Raw genomic sequence first — 24,637 nt, 5'->3', positions numbered from 1 at the left:
AGTAAGCCAAGATCACACCATTGCACTCCAGCCTGGACAACAGAACAAGACCCTGTCTCAAAATAACAAAAAACAAAAACAAAACAAAAAAAACTTAAACTCTAAAAGAATCTCCTTTGACTCCATGTCCCACATCCAGGGACACTGGCATGAGGTCTGGACTCCCAAGGCTTTGGGCAGCTCCGCCCCTGTGGCTTTGCAAGGTTCAGCTCCCGTCGCTCCTGTCACAGTTTTCTGGGCACAAGGGTACAAGCTGCCAGTGGCTCTACCATTCCAGGGCCTGGAGGACATTAGCCCCCCTTCCCAGAGCTCCACTAAACAGTGCACCAGTGGGGATTTTGTGTGTGGGGCCTCCAACCCCACATTTCCACTATTCCACCTCTTCGGAGGTTTTCTCTTTCTACTCAGGTGTTTGCCACATGGTGCTCTGTCCCACACACTAGTTTCTATTCGCTTGTTGGCCAAAGGTCCTGAGGCTTTCTGGTTGTGTTAGGCCATTCTTGCATTGCTATAAAGGAATACCTGAGGCTGGGCAATACTGTGCTAGTAGAGGTTCTCTCTGAGGGCTCCAGCCCTGCTGTAGGTTTCTGCTTGGGCACCCAGGCTTTCTCATACATCCTCTGAAATCTAGGGGGAAGCTGCCAAGCCTCATTCACTGTTGTACTCTGCCAGCCTACAAGCTTAACACCACATGGAAGCCACCAAGGCTTATGGCTTGCACCCTCTGTGGCTGTGGCCCAAGCTGTCCCTAGGGCCCTTTGAGCCATGGCTGGAGCTGGAGCCTCCCTAAGTGGCACAGGGCACACTTCAGGCTGGGCCCATAAAACCATTCTTTCTTTCTAGGCCTCTGCACCTGTGATGGGAGGAGCTTCCTTAAAGGTCTGTGAAATGCCTTTGAGGCCCTTTTCCCATTGTCTTGGCTGTTAATTAGCACTTGGCTCCCTTTCAGTTATGCAAATTTCTCTAGCAAATGATTATTCTGCAGCCTGCTTTAATTCTTCCCCTGATAGTGCTTTTACTTTTTCTGCCACATGCTCAAGCTGCAAAATTTCCAAACTTTTATGCTCTGCTTCCCTTTTGAATATAAATTTTAAATATAAGTCACAATGGGCCATCTGTGACATCATGCTGGGGCTGCTTGCCCACTTGGCTCCCTCTAGGGAAGTACTCCCAGCTGCCCACAGTCATCCTTCTCCATCCCACTGACCTTCCACCCGTGACCAATCAGGAGATGTTTCCAGTTTATTGGTGAATTTATTAGGGCTCAGAGAGGATGACCTATCCAAGGTCCCACTGCCAACTGAATGTAGGACAAGTCTCTGAACCCAGTGTGCCCCTGCCAGAAAGTAGCAGGGATCACAGAAGTCCAGCAGAGGTCTGCCGCCTTGGACCCCGCCTCTTACACATTGAGTGTGGTTTCTGCAGTGATGGTAAATAAGCCTCGAGCCCTTAATTCCTTAATTTGTTCACTAACTCTATATTTTCCATAAATGTGGCAAACATTTCTCTCAGTTGATCTTTTGTGAGTCTTCATTACAGTGGATTTTTATCTTTGATTTTTCTATTTCTCAGTTTTGACTTTCATTTTGGCAGCAAATAATTATTTTTATTGAGTCCCATTTAGGGTGACTTTTATTAAAGGAAAAATAGAAAGTGATGATCTTATCCCACAGGGCGTTGTTTCCCACAGAATTTATAGCTGGCTGTGTCATGTTAAAAATGAAAATAAGGATAGGCACGGTGGCTCACACCTGTAATCCCAGCACTTTGGGAGGCTGAGGCAGGCAGATCGCTTGAGCCCAGGAGTGTGAGACCAGCCTGGGCCACATGGGGAGACCCTGTCTCTACAAAAGATACAAAAATTAGCCAGGCATGGCAGCACACACCTGCAGTTCCAGCTACTTGGGAGGCTGAGGTGGGAGGTTTGCTTGAGGCCAGGAGGTCAAGGCTGCAGTGTTCACACCACTGCACTCCAGCCTGGGTGACAGAGTGAGACTTTGTCTCAAAAAAGAGATAAATTTTTAAAAATTAAGGTTGTGGGAAGAACACTTCCTTAAATAATACCCTTTAATGCCTATGTTCATAAAGGAATCTGTGTATGGCAGGAAAGAGACAGAGTGACAACACAGAGGTTTACAGGCTCTTTCTGTAAGTGTTGCTCACCATAAATGACCCACCCAAAGCTCATCCAGCTCCTTCTTCTCCACAATTGATCTGAAGTCACCAGGAAGGAAAATGAGCCAAAGTGCATAATGGCTACACCCTAAGAGGGGTTATCAAGTTTCTTTGGCACTGGACTACTTGAATTTGAGCCCCTACTTGTCACTGGCCATCATTTGTGGGCTGAGGGCATGTCTTAGATTCCCACACTCTACATGCAAAGAGGAAGGCAATGGAGCCCAACTCACAGAGGTTCTGTGAGTTTCATGTGGGGACAATAAAATCACTCAGAACAATATGTTGACAAAAAGAGTCAAACTCTGTAAGATATTTGAAGAGATTTATTCTGAGCCAAATATGAGTGACCATGGCCCATGACACAGCCCTCAGGAGGTCCTGAGAACATGTGTCCAAAGTGGCTGGGGTGCAGAAGCCTGGTTTTATACATTTTAGAGATGCATGAGACATCAATCAAATACATTTGAGAAATACATTTGTTTGGTCCAGAAACGGAGGACAATTTGAAGGGGGGTGGGGTTCCAGGCTATAGGTAAATTTAAACATTTTCTGGTTGACAATTGGTTGAGTTTGTCTAAAGACCTGGGATTAATAGAAAGGAAATGTTTAGGTTAAGATAAAAGATTGTGGAGACCAAGGTTCTTTTGATGTCTCATAGTGGCTGCCCTTAGAGACAATAGATGACAAATGTTTCCCATTCTGACCTTTAAAAAGCTGGTAGACTCTCAGCTAATCTCTTCAGAACTGGGAGGGCCTGAAACAAAAAGATCTAGCTATGTTAATAGAGATTCTTTACAGATGCAAATTTCTCCCCCACAAAGGATGGCTTTGCAGGGCCATTTCAAGGTATGGCAAATAAACTTGTTTGGGGGTAAAATATTTTGATTTTCTGTTTTGTCATGTGATGTTATGCCAGAGTCAGATTGGAAAGTAAGTCACGATATATAGGGTTAAATAAAACTCATCTGATGAGAATTTATGGTTTGTAGAGCATGACTCTCCAGACCCTTTAGATAGGAATTTGGGCAAGATAAGAAAAAAATCAGAGCTTAGTCCTCAAATACCTGTGCTCTGTGTTAGCTTTTTAAACATCGATTACATTTTTTAATACAACCCTGAGAGTGGGTCTTAGAGGCACAATTTGCCAAACAAAAGCCCCCTCGCTCTATTCCTTTTGCCCCAGTTCCTCATATGGAGGTGCCATTTGTGGCGTTCACTCATGTTTGTGTCAGGCCTCTGAGCTCAAGCTAAGCCATCATATCCCCTGTGACCTGCACGTATACATCCAGATGGCCTGAAGTAACTGAAGAATCACAAAAGAGATGAAAATGACCTGTTCCCGCCTTAACTGATGACATTACCTTGCGAAATTCCTTCTCCTGGCTCATCCTGGCTCAAAAGCTCCCCCACTGAGCACCTTGTGACCCCCACCCCTGCCAGCCAGAGAACAACCCCCTTTGACTAATTTTCCTTTACCTACCCAAATCCTATAAAACGGCCCCACCCCTATCTCCCTTTGCTGACTCTCTTTTCGGACTCAGCCCGACTGCACCCAGGTGATTAAAAGCTTTATTGCTCACATAAAGCCTGTTTGGTGGGCTCTTCACAAGGACGCGAGTAAAAGTTTGTCCATCTTCCTCTTTTTAGTGGTGAGGACCCACTTGAAATCACTTGACCAGGCTACTGCGGTGGGTGTGTGGAATGGGGCAGAGGATTTCTGGAACACCTTGTGGAACATGAGGATGAATGATGAAAACCTGTCCGTAGAGCACGGTTGCAGTAGGAGGGTGCCAGGCTGTAAGCAGGGGTTCATGAGCCACAACCTTCCCCTGCTAGGCCTGAGTCCTGAAGTCTCCACTCCTGCATTTGAATGATTAATACCAAGATAATCTGCTTAGCATCCCTCTTTGTCTTGGCTGCCCCCAAGGAAGACATAAAGTCCCTCCCTCCATGTCTGTAACTTTCAAGTGGTTTTCATGTAGAGGAGTTTCATGGATTAGGAAAAGGGAGGGACTGCATTCACCCCAGGCTGCCACCGTTTTCTCAGTTACGCTGCAGTTTTGAACACAGCCTAGGGGTGGAGTGTTGAAGAAGGCCCTTTAAAGAAACCTGAAGTTTTATCAAAAGCTCCAACTGTACAGGGACTTCAGGCTTCAGAATTTCTGCATTTGAGCCAGGTACAGTGGATCACGCCTGTAATCCCAGCACTTTGGGAGGCCAAGGCAGGTGGATCACTTGAGGTAAGGAGTTCAAGACCAGCCTGGCTAACATGGTGAAACCCCATCTCTACTAAAAATACAAAAATTAGCTGGGCATGGTGGCGTGTGTCTGTAATCCCAGCTACTTGGGAGGTGAGGCAGGAGAATCGCTTGAACCCAGGAGGTGGAGTTTGCAGTGAGCCAAGATTGTGCCACTGCACTCCAGCCTGGGTGACAGTGAGACTCCGTCTCAAAAAAAAAAAAAAGATTTTCTGCATTTGAATAGATAAGATCAGCTTGCCAATTTAGGAACAGAGGAAACAGATTTAATGTTAAGTGGTGAGCTGCAGAAAACCACTGTAAACAAAAAATTAAATTCTAAGCCCCCCAAACATCTGTACAGACCCCTCCCCTTAGCCGAGGGCATTTCAAAGTTAACCTGCAAAACCAGTTCAGGCCATGATGAGAAGGGGGAATCAGGTGTGCCTCATTATACCCTTCTCCCTGTTGGAATTCTGGCACAGCTGACCAGCATGAACATCAACACAGAGGCCTTAAGATTGACAGAACAGACTCTCAAGTCTGACAAGAAACATTAACACTCTATTCTCTCTGAAGCCTGCTACGTGGAGGCTTCGCCTGCCTAAAACCTTGGTCTCCACCACCTCTTATTGTAACACAGACACTCCTTTCTATTGATTCTAGAACTTTGATAATAACTCTTTCAACCAATGGCCAATCTGAGCTCAGAAGCTTCCTAAATAATATCAAATACAGTCGTCCCTTGATCTATGTGGGGACTGGTTCCAGGACCAATGGCATATAACCAGATCCCCACATACTCAACTTCCACAGTCAGCCCTGCCAAACCTCCTTGCAGGAAAAGTCAACACTCTGTAAATGTGGGCTTTGCATCCCATGAATACTGTATTTTTCATCCTCATTCGGTTGAAAAAGAGCTGCGTGTAAGTGGACTCATGCCGTTCAAACCTGTGTTGTTCGAGGGTCAACTGTGCAGCGCTATAATCACTGAGTAGCCACAGGGGAGGACAGATCTCCCTCCACAGACTGATTTTGTTTTCCTGAGAACAAGGACCCTCTCCTCCCTCCAGTCACATTGAAACTGGCTTTGCAAAAATTGTAACAGTGAGAAAATTATGGCAGAGGGGGAGATCTGATCTAGCCAACCCCACTCTTGCCTTTAGCCTTCAAGCTGCCTTTAATTATTCCTGGGCTTCGGCCAAGCTAACTTTGAGAGACATTTAGTTTATAGTTTAAATTTTAATAGCCCTTTCCCAAAACTCAATTGCCTTTGTAAAGCTAGTGAGTGACCACCAGGCTAGGAGGAAGAGAAGCCTGGATTCTGCCAAGGAGTACACATAAACAATCACTACCATTATTCCAGAGCTCACAAGACATGCAATTTCCCCACTTACTCCTGCAGATAACATCACTATTGTAGAATCTAAGATTGGCCTTTTGAGATATCTTTTCAGGATTTTTGCATGTCTGACACCAATGGCTCCACCTGGACCCACCAGGATCTGCCAACTGCTCCTGTGGCCCCACCCAGAAATGATTCAGTGCAAGAGGAAGCTTCAATCCCCTGATTTCATCTCTGAACCAACCAATCAGCACTTCCCATACCCTAGCCCCCTGCCCACCAAACTACTTTTGAAAAACCCCTACCCTATGAGCCTTCAAGGAGATTGATCTTCTGTTTGTTTGTTTGTTTTTGTTTTTTGAGACAGAGTCTCTCTCTGTCAGCCAGGCTGGAGTGCAGTGGCACCATCTCAGCTCACTGCAACCTCCACCTCCTGGGTTCAAGCAATTCTCATCCTTCAGCCTCCCGAGTAGCTGGGATTACAGGCACCCACCACCACACCCAGGTAATTTTTGTATTTTTAAAACAGAGGCGGGGTTTCACCATGTTGGACAGGCTGTTCTCGAACTCCTGACCTGCACTCAAGTGATCTGCCTGCCTTGGCCTCCCAAAGTGCTGGGATTACAGGTGTGAGCCACCATGTCCAGCCCAAGGAGATTGATTTGAGTAATAATTTTTGTCTCCCACATGGCGTGAGCAGCCTTACATCTGTTCAACTCTTTCTTTACTGCAATGCATTGGTCTCCTTTGTGCAGTGGCCAGGAAGAACCCATCAGGCAGCTACAGCATCACTGTGAGGAGAGAGGGAAGGTTCTCACTCCAGCAAAAATGGGAGTACTTGGGGGCCTCATCACACATGTTTATAAATGGTACCCTAAATGAGTGACTGAGGCAAGGCTCAATGATTTGAGGTTTAGTAAGCTAGAGCTTGAGGGCACATCTGAGGAAAAACTCAAGCCAGAGACGCACCTGTGGCTGTTTTTTTGTGGAGAAGTTTTCAGGAGCTTCTGTACATATAAATTTCCTTAAAGTGGGGGAATGCATGTAGGAAAAGGGGCAGGTAGGTGGCAAGGCAAATGTTACATTCTTGTGAGACTTTAGTTAGTGTCCAGTAAACCTACATTTTACATCAGATAAGGTGAATGTTTGAAGGAAGAGGGGAGTAAAGGAGGTCTCAATTATGCTGATGTCTCTTGGTAGGGGAAGGAATGGTTGATCTCATGCCGACTTTGTTCTGCCCCTCGGAAGATAAGCTTGTAATGGACATTGTCAGCGTGGAATGCAACAACAGACTTTAGTTTTAGGAGCTGGACTTGGATTGCACATCTCAAGTCCTTATTTATGGGAAGAAAGACATCTTGAAAGGTGTGTGAAAGGAAAATAAATATTGAGACTCCCAAACTCACTCAGCCAGAGGGAAAAGTCAAGCTGGGAACCAGCGCATGCAAACCTGCCTCCCATTTTGGGTCACAAATAAGATGGCTGCAAAGATGAAAAGCTACATACCTCCCTCACATTTTAGGGTAAAGATCCTTATGGGCCTCAAGATCTTTACTCTAAAATGTTTCTCTTGCAGTTCACCATGGCAATGTAAATTGATAGCTTATCTTCACAGGTGCTGGGACATACGACAGAGCTCAGATTCATGCTTCTGCCCATGTGAGACAAATGCATATCTTACTGTTTCCTCTGCCCTATGGTCTATGGCATCTCATGTAAAAATTCAGATTCACTGAGCCAGGCAAAGGCATGAATGACTGTTTTTCCCTACCCCGCTCTCACATGAAAGTTGTGTATTTCTCAATATTCCGCCCATTCCCCTTTAAATATTGAAGCCACCAAAATTATCTTCAGAGAAAGGCATAGACCTGTCTCTGGGAGTGCATCCTTAACTTTGGCAAATAGGCCTCCCAAAATGATTGAGACTTGCCTGGGTTATTTTCCTTGATTGACAGTAAGTCAAGTCAATTGACATAAGAGTTTACTTATGAGTGCTTTGTGGGGGTTGTCATCTGGAGATGCCTGAGGCCCTTCCATGGGGGTCTAGCTAATGCCTAATGCTTTGACACAAGGTTGTGAAGTAACAGCAATTCATTTGGAAGAGGGTGTTGCCAGTGACTCAGCCTCCAGGCTTAACTTTCCCTTTGGCAGAAGGAGTTGAGTGGTCCTGAGATTTTTTATTTCCTTGCATAAAGACCTACTAAAAGCAAAAGTGTTTGCAGCACCGCCATTCACTTGGCAATTCAGGCAAAGTGGCTGTGGAGAGGTGTCTGGGGATGAGACTTATCGTGGTGCCCACACTCCCAGGGAGCTCTTCTTTAGCGTTTCCACTCTGACCCTGGCTGATCACCTCTCACGGAGAAAAGTGCAGGGGTTGCCAGGCATTTGAAGAGCACAGTTCTAAAGTTCCTGGTTGCTTCTTTGGCAGAGCACCTGGGTACCACAGCTGTTTGCTGACAGCGAAGTTCCCTTCATTTTGAAAATCTGAGGATGCTGTCTCAGGGTTAGTAGGGGCCGTGCTGACAGGCAGGAGATCGGAACTCAATTTGTGTATTTCTGCATTAAATGGGGATGTGCACTTCACCTGGATCCCTGTATGACTTGTCTGACGTCACCTGAGTAAAATCCCCGTAGTTAGAAGGATGGAGAGGCCCTGCATTCCCGTTCATCCTGAAAGTGAAAATCAAGTGCACTTTCCCCCTTTTGTTCCAGGGGAAGTTCTGTCAACCCTGGCCTGCTTTGGGACACCAGTGGACCTCCCCAGAGCTGGTGGTGAAAATTCCTGGAGGTCAGGATGCTCTTGCTGGTCATTGGAGAAAACCACAGGAGTAGCAGACTCCTCTGTCTCCTCACCAGGCCAGACCACGCTCAGTCTCTGGGGTCTTTCCCCAAGATCCTTCCAAGCACATTCCCTTGGCTGAGGTTTTGCTGGAGACTGGGGCTCCCTGGGCAGCCACGAGGCCCACAGCAGCTGGGGCTATCCATGGGAAAGGCCCAGCTCCTGTCCACAGCCACAGTCCCTGAACCCAGCGACCCCATGACACTGCAGGACCCTTTCTCCCACTAGGGCCCTACATCCACCCTTCCTTGGGGGCAGGAGGCTGGAGATATCTAAGGTCCAGGGGATCCTGGGTGAGGATGGGAAAGTTAATCACCTTATCTAGTGTGTTAGTCCATATTGCTTCACTATAAAGAAATACCTGAGGCTGGGGGAATTTATATAGAAGAGGGTTATTTGGCTCACAGTTCTGCAGGATGTACAAGAAGCATGGCACTAGCACCTGCTTCTGGTGAGGCCTCAGGGAGCTTCCAATCATGGCCAAAGGCAAAGGGGAGCCACTGTGTCACATGTGAGAGAGAGAGCAAGAGATGACAGGCTGTCTTAAACCACCAGCTCTCATGTGAACTAATAGAGTGAGAACTCACTCATCAGTTCAGGAAGGGCACCAAGCCACTCATGAGAGATCTACCCCCATGACGCAAAAACCTCCCACCAGATCCTACCTTAAGCACTGGAGATCACACTGCAACACGTGATTTGGAGGGGACAGACATCCAAACCATATTCACCAGTCAAGAGTACCTGACGAGCCCTTAGAGCCCATTTTTATTCCCAAGTAAGTGATTGGCTGGATGACTTCCCTTACCTACTTTGTCCAGAGGCTGTTCACCTGGGAGACCTGCTGGTATATGGGCCACGGAGATTTGCACCCCCTTCCCCGGATTCTCAAGTGCCACTAGAAGTCTCCAGAACTGTGAATTTATTCTAGCACGCCCTGCACTTCACAAGAAAAAGAGATCTCTCCCTGGGCTCCTGCCGGCTCCTCCAGGATACAGCACTGGAGAAGGCAACTTGGTGTTTCCTATCTCCGCCACTCTGGATTTGGGAATCCAAACCCAACTCCCTTTCTATCACTGACAGCGATTGAGGCCAATGCCTACTCCTTTGGGATGATGCTCGCCTGTCTCAGGACCGACTGACCCATGTTCAACTGCTTTTCACATGGAATCCTTCTCCACTTTGGCCTTCAAAACGCTCATTTGAATATTTACTACTACCACCAAGATCTGCCCCTGCCATGGTGCCACCTGGGCCCACCCCTAGGCTTGCAGGCACACCACAGTGGCCCCTTCTGCCAGTCCCAGCCAGTGTGTGTGTGCATGACCCTGCGTGTGCATGTCTGCATGTTAAGAGGGTAGATACAATGTCAAGCATTCTTAAAAAGATTTTTGAAAGATATTTTTTAAAAGTCAAAGAACTGTAGAATGTTTTTAAAGTATGTATTTGTGCATTTTTTGATGTGTTAAATGGGACGATATCAGAATCATATAAACAAAATTGCGCCAGGCGCGGTGACTCGCCTGTAATCCCAGCACTTTGGGAGGGCGAGGCGGGCGGATCACAATGTCAGGAGATCGAGACAGTCCCGGCTGACACGGTGAAACCCCGTCTCTACTAAAAATACAGAAAAATTAGCCGGGCATGTTGGTGGGCGCCTGTAGTCCCAGCTACTCGGGAGGCTGAGGCAGGAGAATGGCATGAACCCAGGAGGCGGAGCTTGCAGTGAGCAGAGATCGTGCCATTGCACTCCAGCCTGGATGACAGAGCAAGACTCCGTCTCTAAATAAATAAATAAATAAATAAATAAATAAATAAATAAATATAAAAAATAAATAAAAATGCTAACATTCCACATCTCTGGAAAGGTCTATAGAATTCTGGGAGGTAAACTTTGTCTTCCAAACATCTGTCCATTAATTGTTTGTTTACTTATTTTTTTGAGACAGATTCTCTGTCACCCAGGCTAGAGTGCAGTGGTGTGTTAATGGCTCATGGCAGCCTTGGTCTCCAGGGCATAAGTGATCCTCCTGCCTCAGCCTCCTGAGTAGCTGGAACTATAGGTGTACATCACCATTCCTGGCTATTTATTATTATTATTATTAGTAGTAGTAGTAGTAGTAGTAGAAACAGGGTCTCATTATCTTGCCCAGGCTGGGCGTGATACTCCTGAGCTCAAGCAATCCTTCCATCTCAGCCTCCCAAAGTGCTGGGATTACAGGCATGAGCTACTGCACCCGGTCTGTTCATTCATTGTTTTGTTGTTGTTGTTATTGTTCTGTTTTTATTTGTTTGTTTTTCTCACTATTGAAGATAGAAATTTTTTAAATTAATTGTTATTAGAAAAATAGGCATTTGCATTATCTGTGTTAAAGAAAGTTCCCCCAGATAGTGTTCCATGGAGCCAGTGCCTAGAAGACCACATCTTCTATCTTGTCCCCTTTACGTTTAATACAGTGATGAAACAATCCACTAACAACGGGCAAGTCCTCAATTTTCAGAGGTATTTATAACCGCACACAAGCACGGGATTGATTTTTCTGATGCCAATTTGCCTGTTATTCCCCTCTCAGTTGGATCTGTTTTCTTTTTTTCTTTTTTTTTTTTTTTTGGAGACGGAGTTTTGCTCTGTCACCCAGGCTAGAGTGCAATGGTGTGATCTTGGCTCACTGCAACCTCTACCTCCCGGGTTCCAGCAATCCTCCTGCCTCAGCCTCCTGAGTAGCTGGGATTACAGGCATGCACCAACAAAACCCGACTAATTTTTGTATTATTAGTAGAGACAGGGTTTCACCATGTTGGCCAGGCTGGTCTCAAACTCCTGACCTTAGGTGATCCGCCCGCTTTGGCCTCCCAAAGTGCTGGGATTACAGGTGTGAGCCACCTCACCCAGCCAAATCTGTTTTCTTTTTCTTTTTTCTTTTTTTTTTGGAGATGGGGTCTCACTCTGTCGCCCAGGCTGGAGTGCAGTGGCGCGTGCAGTGGCGCAATCTCGGCTCACTGCAACCTCTGCCTCCCAGGTTCAAGCGATTCTCCTGCCTCAGCCTCCCACGCCTGCCACCATGCCCGGCTAATTTTTGTATTTTTAGTAGAGACGGGGTTTCACTATATTGGCCAGACTAATCTCGAACCTCTGTCCTTGTGATCTGCCCACTTCGGCCCCCCAAAGTGCTGGGGTTACAGGCGTGAGCCACCGTGCCTGGCCTCTGTTTTCTTCTGTAGTTTCACTACCATCCTTTGTGGTGAGTGGGGTGAGTGTTAGCCAAGGGTGGAACCTAGTTTTGTTTTGTTTCTCTCGCATCTGAACAAGATTTGGTCTCGATTTCAGAATGACCACGTTGCAGAGCAGGCCCCCCAAATGTAAAACTAGGGGGAAGAGAAATCACAAGTCCACTAAGGCTGGGCAGTGGTCTTAGGTTCAGAATATGGTGTCTTAAATATTCCTGCAGACCTTGGTCCTTTACTGTTGCATCTGAGTGAGGCTCCTACGATTGTTGCTACTGATAAAATAAAACGTACATTTGATGTATATAGTCAGATTGCCCTACAGAATGACTTTACAGATTTGCTGTCCAGTCAGCATGGTGTGAGAGTGCCTGAGACTCCATCCCCTTCTCAAGGCCTGTGGTGTCACTGGGAATAGAAGTTATGGCTCTGAAATTTAAACCCAACAGAAGCTTCCTAAGGCTGCTGTAACAAAATCCCACAAACTGTGTGGCTTCAAACAAACAGAAGCTTATTCTCTCACAATTCTGGAGGCCTGCAGTCCAAGATCAAGGTGTCGGTGGGGGTATTTTTTCTAGAGGCTGTGAGGGAGGGTCTGTTCTGTGCCTCTCTCCTAGTTTCTGGTGGGTGCCAGCAATATTTGGCGTTCCTTGTCATGCAGACACATCTCTCCAATCTCTGCCTCCATCTTCACAAGGCATCTCCCTCTGTGTCTCGTCTCAAATCTCCTTCTCCTTTCTTTCACAAGGATGCCAGTTAGGGGACTTATGGCCCACCTTAAGTCCAGTATGACATCATTTGAGATCCTTAGCTTAGTTACATCTGCAAAGACGTTTCATTTCCAAACGAAGTCACATTCTGAGGATCTGGTAGACAGTACCTGGAGGAACACTACTCAATCCACTACAGATCTATCTCTTGCTTACAGATTTTCTGGCTCTCTGATTGCTGCTTTGCTATTAAGGACTTTGACATTGGGTATATCCAATAGCCTTCCTGATCTTTAGTTTTCTCACTAGTTCAAGGAGGTATAATCTTTGTCTGGTCTGTTGTTCTTTCCTAAAAGCCCTGTAAATGCAAAGTGACCCACAAACACAGAAGGAGATAAGAAACCAAAGAACAAGGCAGACAAATCCAGTTTGTCAGTAAAGGGTGATTTATTAGGGAACTTACACACAGAAGTGTAGTCTTCTATGGCCACGAGACAGGCAGATCTGTGTACTGCAACCCCTGAGACCCATGGCTTATGTATCGGGAGGGAAGTCTACATGCTCCGGAAGGAATGTGTAGATAGCTGAAAGAATGCTGAGGGTGTCATGGCCTATGATGTGTGCAACAACATCAAGGGTTGATTAGGAGGGAAGGCAAAACTTACAGTAAACAGAGATTTCTACATAAAGAATAATACATCAACTAGACATCTTGGAGGCATTCCCAGACTCGAGGTTAGTCAGGAGTCACATGGTGGATTAGCATCTGAAATAGAGTTACCCTTGTCCCCACAGCTGCTGTGGTTTTACAACAGCAGATCAGAAAAAAGGTCCCCTTCAAACCTCGTATTGAAATTTAGATCCCCAATGCGGCAATTTTGGGAGATAGGCCCTGGTGGGAGGGGTTTCAGTCATGGGGGTGGATCCCTCATGAATGAATTAATGTCCTCCCATTAGTTCACAAGAGAGCTGGTTGTTAAAAGGAGCCTGGGCCAGTGTGATGGTTCGCATCTCTAATCCCAACACTTTAGGATGCCAAGACAGGAGGATTGCTTGATGCCAAGACAGGAGGATTGCTTGAGGCCAAGTATTCAAGACCAGCCTGGGCAACACAGACATTGCAACATCCCTGTCTTTACCAAAAAGGAAAAAATTAGCCAGCCATGGTGGCATGCACCTATGGGCCTAGTTACTCAAGAGGCTGACGTGGGAAGATAGCTTGAGCCCAGGAGTTCAAGGTTACAGTGTCCAGCCTGGGTGACAGAATAAGACCACGTCTCAAAAAACAAAGAAACAAACAAACCAGCCTGGGACCTCCTCCCTGCTTTGCTTCCTCTTCAGCATGTGTGATCTCTTTGCACATGCCGATTCCCCTTTCACATTCCACCTTGAGCTGAAGCAGCCTGAGACCCTCACCAGAGGCCCAATCTTGAACTTTCCAGCCACCAGAATTGCAAGCTAAATAAACCTCTTTTCTTCATAAACTACCCAGTCTCCAGTATTCTGTTAGAGTAACACTAAACCTCTGCCTCACTTGTTCAACCTTTCATTAAATATATTTGTGTTGAACACCTTTTTGACACCCAGTTCTGTACATCTTTTGACCTGATATGATCTTTTGGAGTAAAGAATAGAGGAATTGGGGTGACATCAGCAAGATGGCAGAATAGGAAGCCCCCACCCTTGTTTCCTTCACAGTGACACCAAATTAACAACAATATATAGACCAAAATACCTTTATGAGAACTCTAGAAACCAGTGAGGAAGTTGCAGTACCCCAAGGCAAGATCAAGCCAAGAACAGTGCATTGAAATCAGTAAGAAGAGCCATTTCACTTTATCTGCAATTGTCCCTGTCCCAAGCTAGCACAGCTCGGCTTTTCTCATGGCTTCTCCCTTAGGTTAGAGGGAGGGGAGAGAAGAGTGCCCAGCGTTCCAGCTTCTCAGAAGGCTGCCCAGAAAACTAGTTTCTGTCTTACTTGACTCAGGGCACTAATGGAACCAGAATAGTTTGGATGCCTGGAGGATGCTGAAAGCAAGGGAGAATGGGGTGGCTTACTGTGCCACCAGAAGGCCTGAAGTGCGGCACACAGAGGATGGCATGACTCAGGGTAACTGGGAGGTGCTCAACTCATAGGTCTTCCCTTGGCAGGGAGGTAGAAGAGTGGGCTGTTTGGCTGGCTGTCCAGCTTTTCAGAGAGCTGCTCCAAGGACTGGTGAATGTCTCATCTGATCTAGGGGAGCTGACAGGGAACCAGCATACTTTGGATGGGGCCTCTGAAAACAAAGGAGAGGAGAGTGGCTTGCTGCTGTGGCACCAGGGAACCTGCAGTTCTAGAGACAGACACCAGAGGGAGCCAAAGATTATGATCTTCTGAAAAAGAAACTGGCAAACCTCTCTAACTGGAAAATTACAGGCAAAGCTCAGAGGAATTGCGTCCTCCTAAAAAGATTTCAGAGGCCCCCAGAATCTCTAGGTGTGGCTGATTGGTGAACAGAATTCCCCCGTACAAACCCAATCCATAAAGACTGAGAGAGAAGGCTATTTTTTTTCAAATGCGTACAACTCAACAAAAAAAATATCACAAGCCACACAATAAAGCAGGGAAATATAACCAAATCAAAGGAACAAAATAAATCTCTAGAAACTGCCTCCGAAGAGATGGAGATCTATAAACTATCGGATTAATAATTCAAAATAATTGTCTTAAAGAAACACAGTGGCTTCTTTTCCGACAAAACACCAAATGGCGGATGACGCCGGTGCAGCGGGGGGGCCCGGAGGCCCTGGTGGCCCTGAGATGGGGAACCGCGGTGGCTTCCGCGGAGGTTTCGGCAGTGGCATCCGGGGCCAGGGTCGCGGCCGTGGACGGGGCCGGGGCCAAGGCCGCGGAGCTCGCGGAGGCAAGGCCGAGGATAAGGAGTGGATGCCCGTCACCAAGTTGGGCCGCTTGGTCAAGGACATGAAGATCAAGTCCCTGGAGGAGATCTATCTCTTCTCCCTGCCCAATTAAGGAATCAGAGATCATTGATTTCTTCCTGGGGGCCTCTCTCAAGGATGAGGTTTTGAAGATTATGCCAGTGCAGAAGCAGACCCGTGCCGGCCAGCGCACCAGGTTCAAGGCATTTGTTGCTATCGGGGACTACAACGGCCACGTCGGTCTGGGTGTTAAGTGCTCCAAGGAGGTGGCCACCGCCATCCGTGGGGCCATCATCCTGGCCAAGCTCTCCATCGTCCCCGTGCGCAGAGGCTACTGGGGGAACAAGATCGGCAAGCCCCACACTGTCCCTTGCAAGGTGACAGGCTGCTGCGGCTCTGTGCTGGTACGCCTCATCCCTGCACCCAGGGGCACTGGCATCGTCTCCGCACCTGTGCCTAAGAAGCTGCTCATGATGGCTGGTATCGATGACTGCTACACCTCAGCCCGGGGCTGCACTGCCACCCTGGGCAACTTCACCAAGGCCACCTTTGATGCCATTTCTAAGACCTACAGCTACCTAACCCCCGACCTCTGGAAGGAGACTGTATTTACCAAGTCTCCCTATCAGGAATTCACTGACCACCTCGTCAAGACCCACACCAGAGTCTCCGTGCAGCGGACTCAGGCTCCAGCTGTGGCTACAACATAGGGTTTTTATACAAGAAAAATAAAGTGAATTAAGCGTGAAAACAAAACAAAAAAAAGAAACACAGTGACCTTCAAGAGGACACAGATAATTAAATGAAATTTTTAAAAATGCAACAACAAGATGAGAAAATCAACAAAGAGATAGAATGATAAAAAAAAGAAAGAAGCGGAAATTTTTGAGCTGAAGAATATAGCAACTGAATTGAAAAATTCACTAAAAGAGTTCAAAAGCAGACCTGATCAAACAAAACAGTGGACTAAACAACAGGTCATTTGAATCTTTGAGTCAGGGAGCAAAAAGAAGAAAAAATGAAGAAAAGTGAGGATAGCCTAAGAGATTAATGGGACATCATCAAGCAGATCAACATACACATTAAAGGCATTCCAGAAAGAGAAGAAAGAGAACTTATTTAAAGAAATAATGGCTGAAAACGTCCCAAATCTGACAAAGGAAGTGGACATCCAAATTCAACAATCTCAAAACAAATATTAGTAAATTAGTAAGATTATTAGTAAGATGAACTCAAAGAGGCCCATACAGAGAGACATGTTATAATCAAACTATTGTCTTTAAAAGAGCAAGGGCAGTGACTCATGATGTACAAGGGAGCTCCCATTATAGTATAAGTAGATTTCTCCACAGAAATTGTATAGGCAAGAAAGGGGTGGGATGATATGTTCAACATGTTCAGAGAAGAAAAGCTATCAACCAAGAATACTATGACTGGCAAGACTGTCCTTCAAAACTGAAGGAGAAATACGCATCTAACAGCAGAGCACCCAAATGTATGAAGCAACATTGACAGAATTAATTGAGAGACAGAAAGTGGCATGGTGGTTGCAAGGGACTGGGCGGAGGAATGAATGGGGAGTTACTGTTTAATGGGTACAGAGTTTCAGTTTTGTAAGACGAAAAAAATTCTGGAGATGAATGATTGTGATGGTGGCACAATAATGTGAATGTACTTAATGCCATTGAACTGTATGCTTAAAAATGGTTAAAATGGTAAATTCTGTTACATTTGTTTTACCATAAGTTAAAAAAAAATTTTAAATTAATAGACATGGTAAAAGCAAGAAAATATCACACATAATCAGGACAAAAATCCATCAATATAATAAGATTCATAAGTGACATAAATGATGCAATTAACAGACGTGATATAGAAAATAGATATCATAAATATGGTTCACGTGCTCAAGAATGTAGAAGATGAGGAGATAAATAGAAAATATTTTTAAAGAAACATTAGATGGAATTAACAGCAGAGTAGGTATTTGTATTAGTTCATTCTCACATTGCTATAAAGAACTACCTAAGACTGGGTAATTTATAAAGAAAAGAAGTTTAGGCCAAGTGCAGTGGTTCACGCCTGTGATCCTAACACTTTGGGAGGCTGAGGTGAGTGGATCACCTGAGGTCAGGAGTTCGAGACCAGTCTGGCCAACATGGTGAAACTCCATCTCTACCAAAAATACAAAAATTAGCCAGGCATGGTGGCAGATGCCTGTAATCCCAGCTACTCGGGAGGCTGAGGCAGGAGAATCACTTGAACCCAGAGGCGGAGGTTGCAGTGAGCTGAGATCGCTCCAGTCCACTCCAGCCTGGGCGACAAGAGCAAAACTCCATCTCAAAAAAAAAAAAGAAAAGAAAAGTGGTTTAATTGACTCACAGTTCCACAGACTGTATAGGAAGCATGTCTGGGGAGGCCTCAGGAAACTTACAATCATGGCAGAAGGTGAAGGGAAAGCAGGCACTCCTACATGGTGGGAGCAGAAGGAAGAGCACGAAGCAGGAGGTGCCACACACTTTGAAACAACCAGATCTCATGAGAACTCACTATCACGCGAACAGCAAGGGGGAGTCTGCCCCCATGACCCAATCACTTCCCCCCAGGCCCCTCCTCCAACATTGGGGATTACAATTCAACATGAGATTTGGGCAAGGACAAAAATGTAAACCATATTATTCTGTCCCTGGCCCCTCCCAAATCTCATGTCCTTCTCATATTTCAAAATACAATCATGCCTTCCCAACAGTCCCCCAAAGTCTTAACTCATTCCAGCATTAACTCAAAAGTCCACAATCCAAAGTCTTATCTGAGATAAGGCAAGTTCTTCTGCCTATGAACCTGTAAAATCAAAACAAGTTAGTTACTTCCAAGATACAGTGGGGGTACAGGCATTGGCTAAATACTCTCTCCCATTCCAAATGGGAGAAATTGGCCAAAACAAAAGGGCTACAGGCCCCATGAAAGTCTGAAACCCAACAGGGCAGTCATTAAATCTTAAAGCTCCAAAATAATCTCCTTTGACTCCATGTCTCATATTCAGGGAACACCAATGCAAAAGGTGGGCTCCCAGGGCCTTGGGCAGCTCTACCTCTGTGGCTCTGCAGGGTACAGCCCCCTCAGCTGCTTTCATGGGCTGGAGTTGAGTACCTGTGGCACTCCAGGTGCATAGTGGAAGCTGATGGTAAATCTACCATTCTGGGGAGTGGTCCTCTTCTCACAGCTCCACTAAGCAGTGCCCCAGTGGGGACTCTGTGTGGCAGCTCCAACCCCATATTTCCCCTCCATATTGCCCTAGTAGAGGTCCTCCATCAGGGCTCCTTCCCTGCAGCAGACTTCTTCCTGGACATCCAGGCATTTCCATATATCTTCTCTGAAATCTAGGCAGAGGCTCCCAAGCCTCCACTCTTCCTCTCTGTGTACCCGCCAGCTTAACACCACATGGAAGCTGCTAAGGCTTATGGCTTGCATCCTCTGGAGCAGTGGCCTGAGATGTATCTGGGTCCCTTTTAGCCATGGCTGGAGCTGGCATAGCTGGGATGCAGGGAACAGTGTCCCTAAGTTGTGTAGGGCAGTTGAGCCCCGGGCCTGGCCCAGGAAATTCTTCCCTTCTAGGCCTCCATGCCTGTGATGGGTGAGACTGTCATGAAAGTCTCCGAAATCCCTTCTGGGCATTTACCCCATTGTCTTGGCTATTATTATGGTTCCTCTTATGCAAATTTCTGTAGCTGGGTTGAATTCCTCCCTGAAAATGGGTTTTTCTTTTCTACCACATGGCTGGGCTGAAAACTTTCCAATCTTTTACACTCTGCTTCCCTCTTAAAGATAAGTTCCAGTTTCAGCTCATTTATTTGCTCACAAATATAAGCATAGGCTGCTAGAAGTAGCCAGGCCAAGTCTTGAATGTTTTGCAGCTTAGAAATTTCTTCTGCCAGATACCCTATATCAACACTCTCAAGTTCAAAGTTCCACAGATCTCTAGGGGAGGGGCACAATGCCTCCAACCTCTTTGCTAACACATAACAAAAGTGACATTTGCTTCAGTTCCCAATAAGTTCCTCATCTCCATCTGAGACCATCTCAGCCTGGACTTCATTAACCATATCACTATCGGCATTTTGGTCACAACAATTTAACAAGTCTCTAGGAAGTTCCAAACTTTCCTTTATCTTCCTGTCTTCTTCTGAGATCTCCAAACTGTTCCAACTTCTACCCGTTACCCATTTCCAAAGTCACTTCCACATTTTCAGGTATCTTTTTTTTTTTTTTTTTTAATTGATCATTCTTGGGTGTTTCTCACAGAGGGGGATTTGGCAGGGTCATAGGACAATAGTGGAAGGAGGGTCAGCAGATAAACAAGTGAACAAAGGTCTCTGGTTTTCCTATGCAGAGGACCCTGCGGCCTTCCGCAGTGTTTGTGTCCCTGGGTACTTGAGATTAGGGAGTGGTGATGACTCTTAACGAGCATGCTGCCTTCAAGCATCTGTTTAACAAAGCACATCTTGCATCACCCTTAATCCATTTAACCCTGAGTGGACACAGCACATGTTTCAGAGAGCACAGGGTTGCGGGTAGGGTCACCGATCAACAGGATCACAAGGCAGAAGAATTTTTCTTAGTACAGAACAAAATGAAAAGTCTCCTGTGTCTACCTCTTTCTACACAGACATGGCAACCATCCGATTTCTCAATCCTTTCCCCGCCTTTCCCCCCTTTCTATTCCACAAAACCGCCATTGTCATCATGGCCCGTTCTCAATGAGCTGTTGGGCACACCTCCCAGACGGGGTGGTGGCCGGGCAGAGGGGCTCCTCACTTCCCAGTAGGGGCGGCCGGGCAGAGGCGCCCCTCACCTCCCAGACCGGGCGGCTGGCCGGGCGGGGGGCTGACACCCCCACCTCCCTCCCGGACGGGGCGGCTGGCCGGGCGGGGGGCTGACCCCCCCCACCTCCCTCCCGGACGGGGCGGCTGGCCTGGCGGGGGCTGACCCCCACCTCCCTCCCGGATGGGGTGGCTGCCGGGCAGAGACGCTCCTCACTTCCCAGACGGGGTGGCTGCCAGGCGGAGGGGCTCCTCACTTCTCATATGGGGCGGTTGCCAGGCGGAGGGTCTCCTCACTTCTCAGACGGGGTGGCTGGGCAGAGATGCTCCTCACCTCCCAGACGGGGTCGCGGCCGGGTAGAGGCGCTCCTCACATCCCAGACGGGGCGGCGGGTCAGAGGCCCTCCCCACATCTCAGACGATGGGCGGCCAGGCAGAGACGCTCCTCACTTCCTAGATGGGATGGCGGCTGGGAAGAGGCGCTCCTCACTTCCTAGATGGGATGGCGGCCGGGAAGAGACGCTCCTCACTTTCCAGACTGGGTAGCCAGGCAGAGGGGCTCCTCACGTCCCAGACGATGGGCGGCCAGGCAGAGACGCTCCTCACTTCCCAGACGGGGTGGAGGCCGGACAGAGGCTGCAATCTTGGCACTTTGGGAGGCCAAGGCAGGCGGCTGGGAGGTGGAGGTTGTAGCAAGCCGAGATCACGCCACTGCACTCCAGCCTGGGCACCATTGAGCACTGAGTGAACCAGACTCTGTCTGCAATCCCGGCACCTCGGGAGGCCGAGGCTGGCGGATCACTCGCAGTTAGGAGCTGGAGACCAGCCCGGCCACCACAGCGAAACCCCGTCTCCACCAAAAAAATACGAAAACCAGTCAGGCGTGGTGGTGCGCGCCTGCAATCGCAGGCACTCGGCAGGCTGAGGCAGGAGAATCAGGCAGGGAGGCTGCAGTGAGCAGGGATGGCAGCAGTACAGTCCAGCTTCGGCTCGGCATCAGTGGGAGACCGTGGAAAGAGAGGGAGAGGGAGACCGTGGGGAGAGGGAGAGGTAGAGGGAGAGGGAGACCTCAGGTATCTTTATAGCAATACTTCACTCCCAGTATCAATTTTCTGTATTTGTCCATTCTCACATTGCTATAAAGAACTACCTGAAACTGGGTAATTCATAAAGAAAGGATGTTTAATTGACTCACAGTTTCACAGGCTGTGCAGGAAGCATGGCTGGGGAAGCCTCAGAATACTTACAATCATGGCAGAAAGCAAAGGGGAAGCAGGTGCATGCCCGGGGCAGGAGGAAAGTGTGAAGGGGAAGGTGCTACACACTTTGAAACAACCATATCTCATGAAAACTCACTATCACAAGAACAGCAAGAGGGAGGTCCACCCCCATGATCCAATCACCTGCCACCAGGCCCCTCTTCCAACATTGGGGATTACAATTTGACATGACATTTGGGCAGGGACACAAATCCAAACCATATAAGTATTAAAGAAAAAAGACCAGAGAAGAAAAGATCAGAGAAAGAATGAAGTACAGATGGAAAAAATAATCAAGGATTTTTGTGATAATATCAAGTAATCTGATGTACATGACATTGGAATTTTAGAATGAGAAAGTGTAAAGAAAAATATGAAGAATAATCTTATGAAAATTTCCAAAATTGCTGAAAATTATAAACCAACAGATCCAAGAATCTCAATAAACCTTAAACATAGGAAACATAAAGAAATACACACATTACGTTTTTTGTATTTTATAATGATAAAAAAGTAAAAAAGAAAAAACCACATCACTGCACATCATATCAGAATTCCTTTAAATATAAATGGTCTAAAGACTGTGAACAAAAGCAGATATCATCAGAATTAATAAGAAAAGCAAGATGTAAAATATGCTGTCTATAAGAAACAAGAAACCAAGTTTAAATTTAAAGACACAGGTAGTTAAGAGTAACAAAATGAAAAAAGATATACCACAAAGTCACTAAATAAAACAAACATGGAATAGCCATATTAATATCAGACAAAGTAAACTTCAAAATGACTATGACGTATGTTAAAGAGAAAAATTTCATAATGCTACATGCAAAAGGAAGATAAGACATTCTTAAATGTCTATACAACTAAATAACATAATTTCAAAATACATGAAGCAAACCTGATAGAACTACAAGGAGAAACAGACAAATCCACAATTACAGTAACAGATTTCAATATTCCTCTCTCAGTAATTGATGACCAAGTAGATATAAAACCCAGGGGAGATACTTAAGACTTGGCAGTGCTATTAATCACATTGACCTAATTAATATTTTTAAGACTCCACCCAACAGCAATTAGAATTCTTTTTAACCGTTCCTTCTTTTCTGTGGTTCCCATACAGATAGATCCTCCGAATGAGGAACAATGTATTCTTCTTTTCTCCTAATTCTCCTAAAAAATCCACTTGGGAGATACCTGCTGCAAAACTTAAAGGCAACCATATTCTGTACTTAGATGAAGTGTTTGTCAAGCTCCCTGGAAAAGAGAATCAAAGGACCCTGACTTGTTTACTCTGCCTTCTGGAAGAAAAAAGTGATGAGAGAGAGTGGCAATCTCACACCATGCTGAAAAGCGCCCCCCAACTAACTCAGATCCATGCGTCCCTTTGGGCCCTGAGGAATAATACTGCTGGTTTAATTCAAGATATAAAACCAATAAAAATGGTTTACCTAAAGGATATGCCACAATGGCCGTATGTGAAACAATATCCTTTGTCCTGAGCTCGGTTTGAGAGAATCAAACCCATTATAAAAGAATTAGAAAAACAAGGGATACTTCTATAAAAGGTAGCCTCACCTTGTCATACTCCCATACTTCCAGTAAGCAAGGAAAGTAAATTTGGTAAAGATGGTTGACCATTGTGTAGATTTGTACAAGATCTTTGAGAAGTAAATGAATTTGTAGTTCCTAATCCTGCAACTATTTTGACTTTGTTTCTGTTGTCTGTAATGTGTTCTGCTTTTTCTTCCTGTTCCTGTCCAAACCCTTGTTTGCTTTTACCTACAAAGGAGTTCAATACTTAACTTAGTAAAGAATTTCTCAAGGATTTCAGGACTCTCCTACTCTTTTCTCTAGCAATTTACAGGAAATATTAGGGAAATTTGTCCCACCAGAGAAATTTATAATTATCCTGTCAACGAAAAGAGTCAAACTCTGTAAAATATTTGAAGAGATTTATTCTGAGCCAAACATGAGGACCAATGACATGTGACATAGCCCTAGGAGATCCTAAGAACATGCACCCAAGGTGATTGGGCCATAACTTGGTTTCATACATTCTAGGGAGACAAGACAACAATCAATACATGTAAGATGGCTGGGCATGGTGGCTCACACCTGTAATCCCAGCATTTTGGGAGGCCGAGGCGGGTGGATCAAAAGGTCAGGAGTTCAAGACCAGCTTGAACAACATGGTGAAACCTCATCTCTACTAAAAATACAAAAATTATCCAGGTGTGGTGGCGTGCACCTGTAATCCCAGCTATTAAGGAGGCTGAGGCAGGAGAATTGCTTGAACCCAGGAAGCAGAGGTTATGGTAAGCCGAGATCACGCCACTGCACTCCAGCCTGGGTGACAGAGCAAGACTCTGTCTCAAAATAATAATAATACATGTAAGATATACATTGGTTTGGTGCCGAAAGGTGAGACAACTCAAAGAGGGGGCTTCCAGGTCATAGGTGAATTCAGAGATTTTCTAATTGGCAACTGGTTGAAAGAGTTATTATCTAAAGACCTGGAATCCATAGAAGAGAATATCTGGGTTAAGATAAGGGGTTTGGGAAATCAAGGTTCTTATTATGCAGATGATGCCTTCAGGTAGCAGACTTCAGAGAGAATAGATTGTACATGTTTTTTTATCAGACTTAGAAAGGTGCCAGACTCTTAGTTAATTCTCTCCTGCATCAGGAAAAATACCTGGAAAGGGAAGGGGATTCTCTACTGAATGTAGATTTTCTCCACAAGATAAAGCTGTGCAGGGCCATTTCAAAATATGTCAAAGAAATATATTTTGGGGTAAAATATTTCTATTTCTTTTGGGGCCTGCTATCTGTCATGTTGGTATCTTATTGCTGCAAAGGGTCTATTTAAATCCAAAAATTAGTCAAGCATGGTGGCATGCACCTGTAATCCCAGCTACTCAGGAGGCTGAGGTGGGAGAATCACTTGAACCTGGGAGGCAGATGGAGGTTGCAGTGAGCCAAGATTGTGCCACTGCACTCCAGCCTCGGGGACAGAGTGAGACTCTGTCTCAAAAAAAGAAAAAATGAGTCTATTTCATCAGTGTTAAGGTCTCTTGTTTTAATATTAATGGTGGTCAG

The 24,637-nt window shown here is 46.0% G+C and overlaps 1 long non-coding RNA gene and 1 pseudogene across 2 annotated transcripts, besides 8 other annotated features; both read left to right on the top strand.

Annotated features, from left to right (window-relative positions):
- Positions 866-1,412: an enhancer, noted in NCBI's record as "OCT4-NANOG-H3K27ac-H3K4me1 hESC enhancer chr17:19364034-19364580 (GRCh37/hg19 assembly coordinates)". NCBI's record gives its function as "activates a minimal SCP1, AML or CMV promoter by ChIP-STARR-seq in primed H9 embryonic stem cells {active_cell/tissue: H9 hESC(primed)}" and the evidence as "EXISTENCE:reporter gene assay evidence [ECO:0000049][PMID:30033119]".
- Positions 1,162-22,991, top strand: LOC105371574 (uncharacterized). 2 transcript variants are annotated; one of them, NR_188341.1, is made up of 3 exons: positions 1,162-1,430; positions 8,473-8,548; positions 22,659-22,991. It is a non-coding gene; the product is annotated as an uncharacterized LOC105371574 (long non-coding RNA). The 2 variants fall into 2 exon arrangements; NR_188340.1 differs by lacking the exon at positions 8,473-8,548.
- Positions 1,413-1,959: an enhancer, noted in NCBI's record as "NANOG-H3K27ac hESC enhancer chr17:19363487-19364033 (GRCh37/hg19 assembly coordinates)". NCBI's record gives its function as "activates a minimal SCP1, AML or CMV promoter by ChIP-STARR-seq in primed H9 embryonic stem cells {active_cell/tissue: H9 hESC(primed)}" and the evidence as "EXISTENCE:reporter gene assay evidence [ECO:0000049][PMID:30033119]".
- Positions 2,507-3,052: an enhancer, noted in NCBI's record as "OCT4-NANOG-H3K27ac hESC enhancer chr17:19362394-19362939 (GRCh37/hg19 assembly coordinates)". NCBI's record gives its function as "activates a minimal SCP1, AML or CMV promoter by ChIP-STARR-seq in naive and primed H9 embryonic stem cells {active_cell/tissue: H9 hESC(naive and primed)}" and the evidence as "EXISTENCE:reporter gene assay evidence [ECO:0000049][PMID:30033119]".
- Positions 3,053-3,599: an enhancer, noted in NCBI's record as "OCT4-NANOG-H3K27ac-H3K4me1 hESC enhancer chr17:19361847-19362393 (GRCh37/hg19 assembly coordinates)". NCBI's record gives its function as "activates a minimal SCP1, AML or CMV promoter by ChIP-STARR-seq in primed H9 embryonic stem cells {active_cell/tissue: H9 hESC(primed)}" and the evidence as "EXISTENCE:reporter gene assay evidence [ECO:0000049][PMID:30033119]".
- Positions 3,600-4,145: an enhancer, noted in NCBI's record as "OCT4-NANOG-H3K27ac-H3K4me1 hESC enhancer chr17:19361301-19361846 (GRCh37/hg19 assembly coordinates)". NCBI's record gives its function as "activates a minimal SCP1, AML or CMV promoter by ChIP-STARR-seq in primed H9 embryonic stem cells {active_cell/tissue: H9 hESC(primed)}" and the evidence as "EXISTENCE:reporter gene assay evidence [ECO:0000049][PMID:30033119]".
- Positions 8,234-8,733: an enhancer, noted in NCBI's record as "H3K4me1 hESC enhancer chr17:19356713-19357212 (GRCh37/hg19 assembly coordinates)". NCBI's record gives its function as "activates a minimal SCP1, AML or CMV promoter by ChIP-STARR-seq in naive H9 embryonic stem cells {active_cell/tissue: H9 hESC(naive)}" and the evidence as "EXISTENCE:reporter gene assay evidence [ECO:0000049][PMID:30033119]".
- Positions 8,734-9,235: an enhancer, noted in NCBI's record as "H3K4me1 hESC enhancer chr17:19356211-19356712 (GRCh37/hg19 assembly coordinates)". NCBI's record gives its function as "activates a minimal SCP1, AML or CMV promoter by ChIP-STARR-seq in naive H9 embryonic stem cells {active_cell/tissue: H9 hESC(naive)}" and the evidence as "EXISTENCE:reporter gene assay evidence [ECO:0000049][PMID:30033119]".
- On the top strand, positions 15,258-16,200 carry RPS2P46 (ribosomal protein S2 pseudogene 46; annotated as a pseudogene).
- Positions 20,433-21,217: an enhancer, noted in NCBI's record as "H3K27ac hESC enhancer chr17:19344229-19345013 (GRCh37/hg19 assembly coordinates)". NCBI's record gives its function as "activates a minimal SCP1, AML or CMV promoter by ChIP-STARR-seq in naive H9 embryonic stem cells {active_cell/tissue: H9 hESC(naive)}" and the evidence as "EXISTENCE:reporter gene assay evidence [ECO:0000049][PMID:30033119]".
- Positions 22,992-24,637: the final 1,646 nt, after the last annotated feature.

The sequence above is a fragment of the Homo sapiens genome, chromosome 17 (genome assembly GCF_000001405.40).
Source record: "Homo sapiens chromosome 17, GRCh38.p14 Primary Assembly".
NCBI lineage: Eukaryota > Metazoa > Chordata > Mammalia > Primates > Hominidae > Homo > Homo sapiens.
Note: the sequence above shows the minus strand (reverse complement) of the source record. Positions and strands in the feature narration are given on the sequence as shown.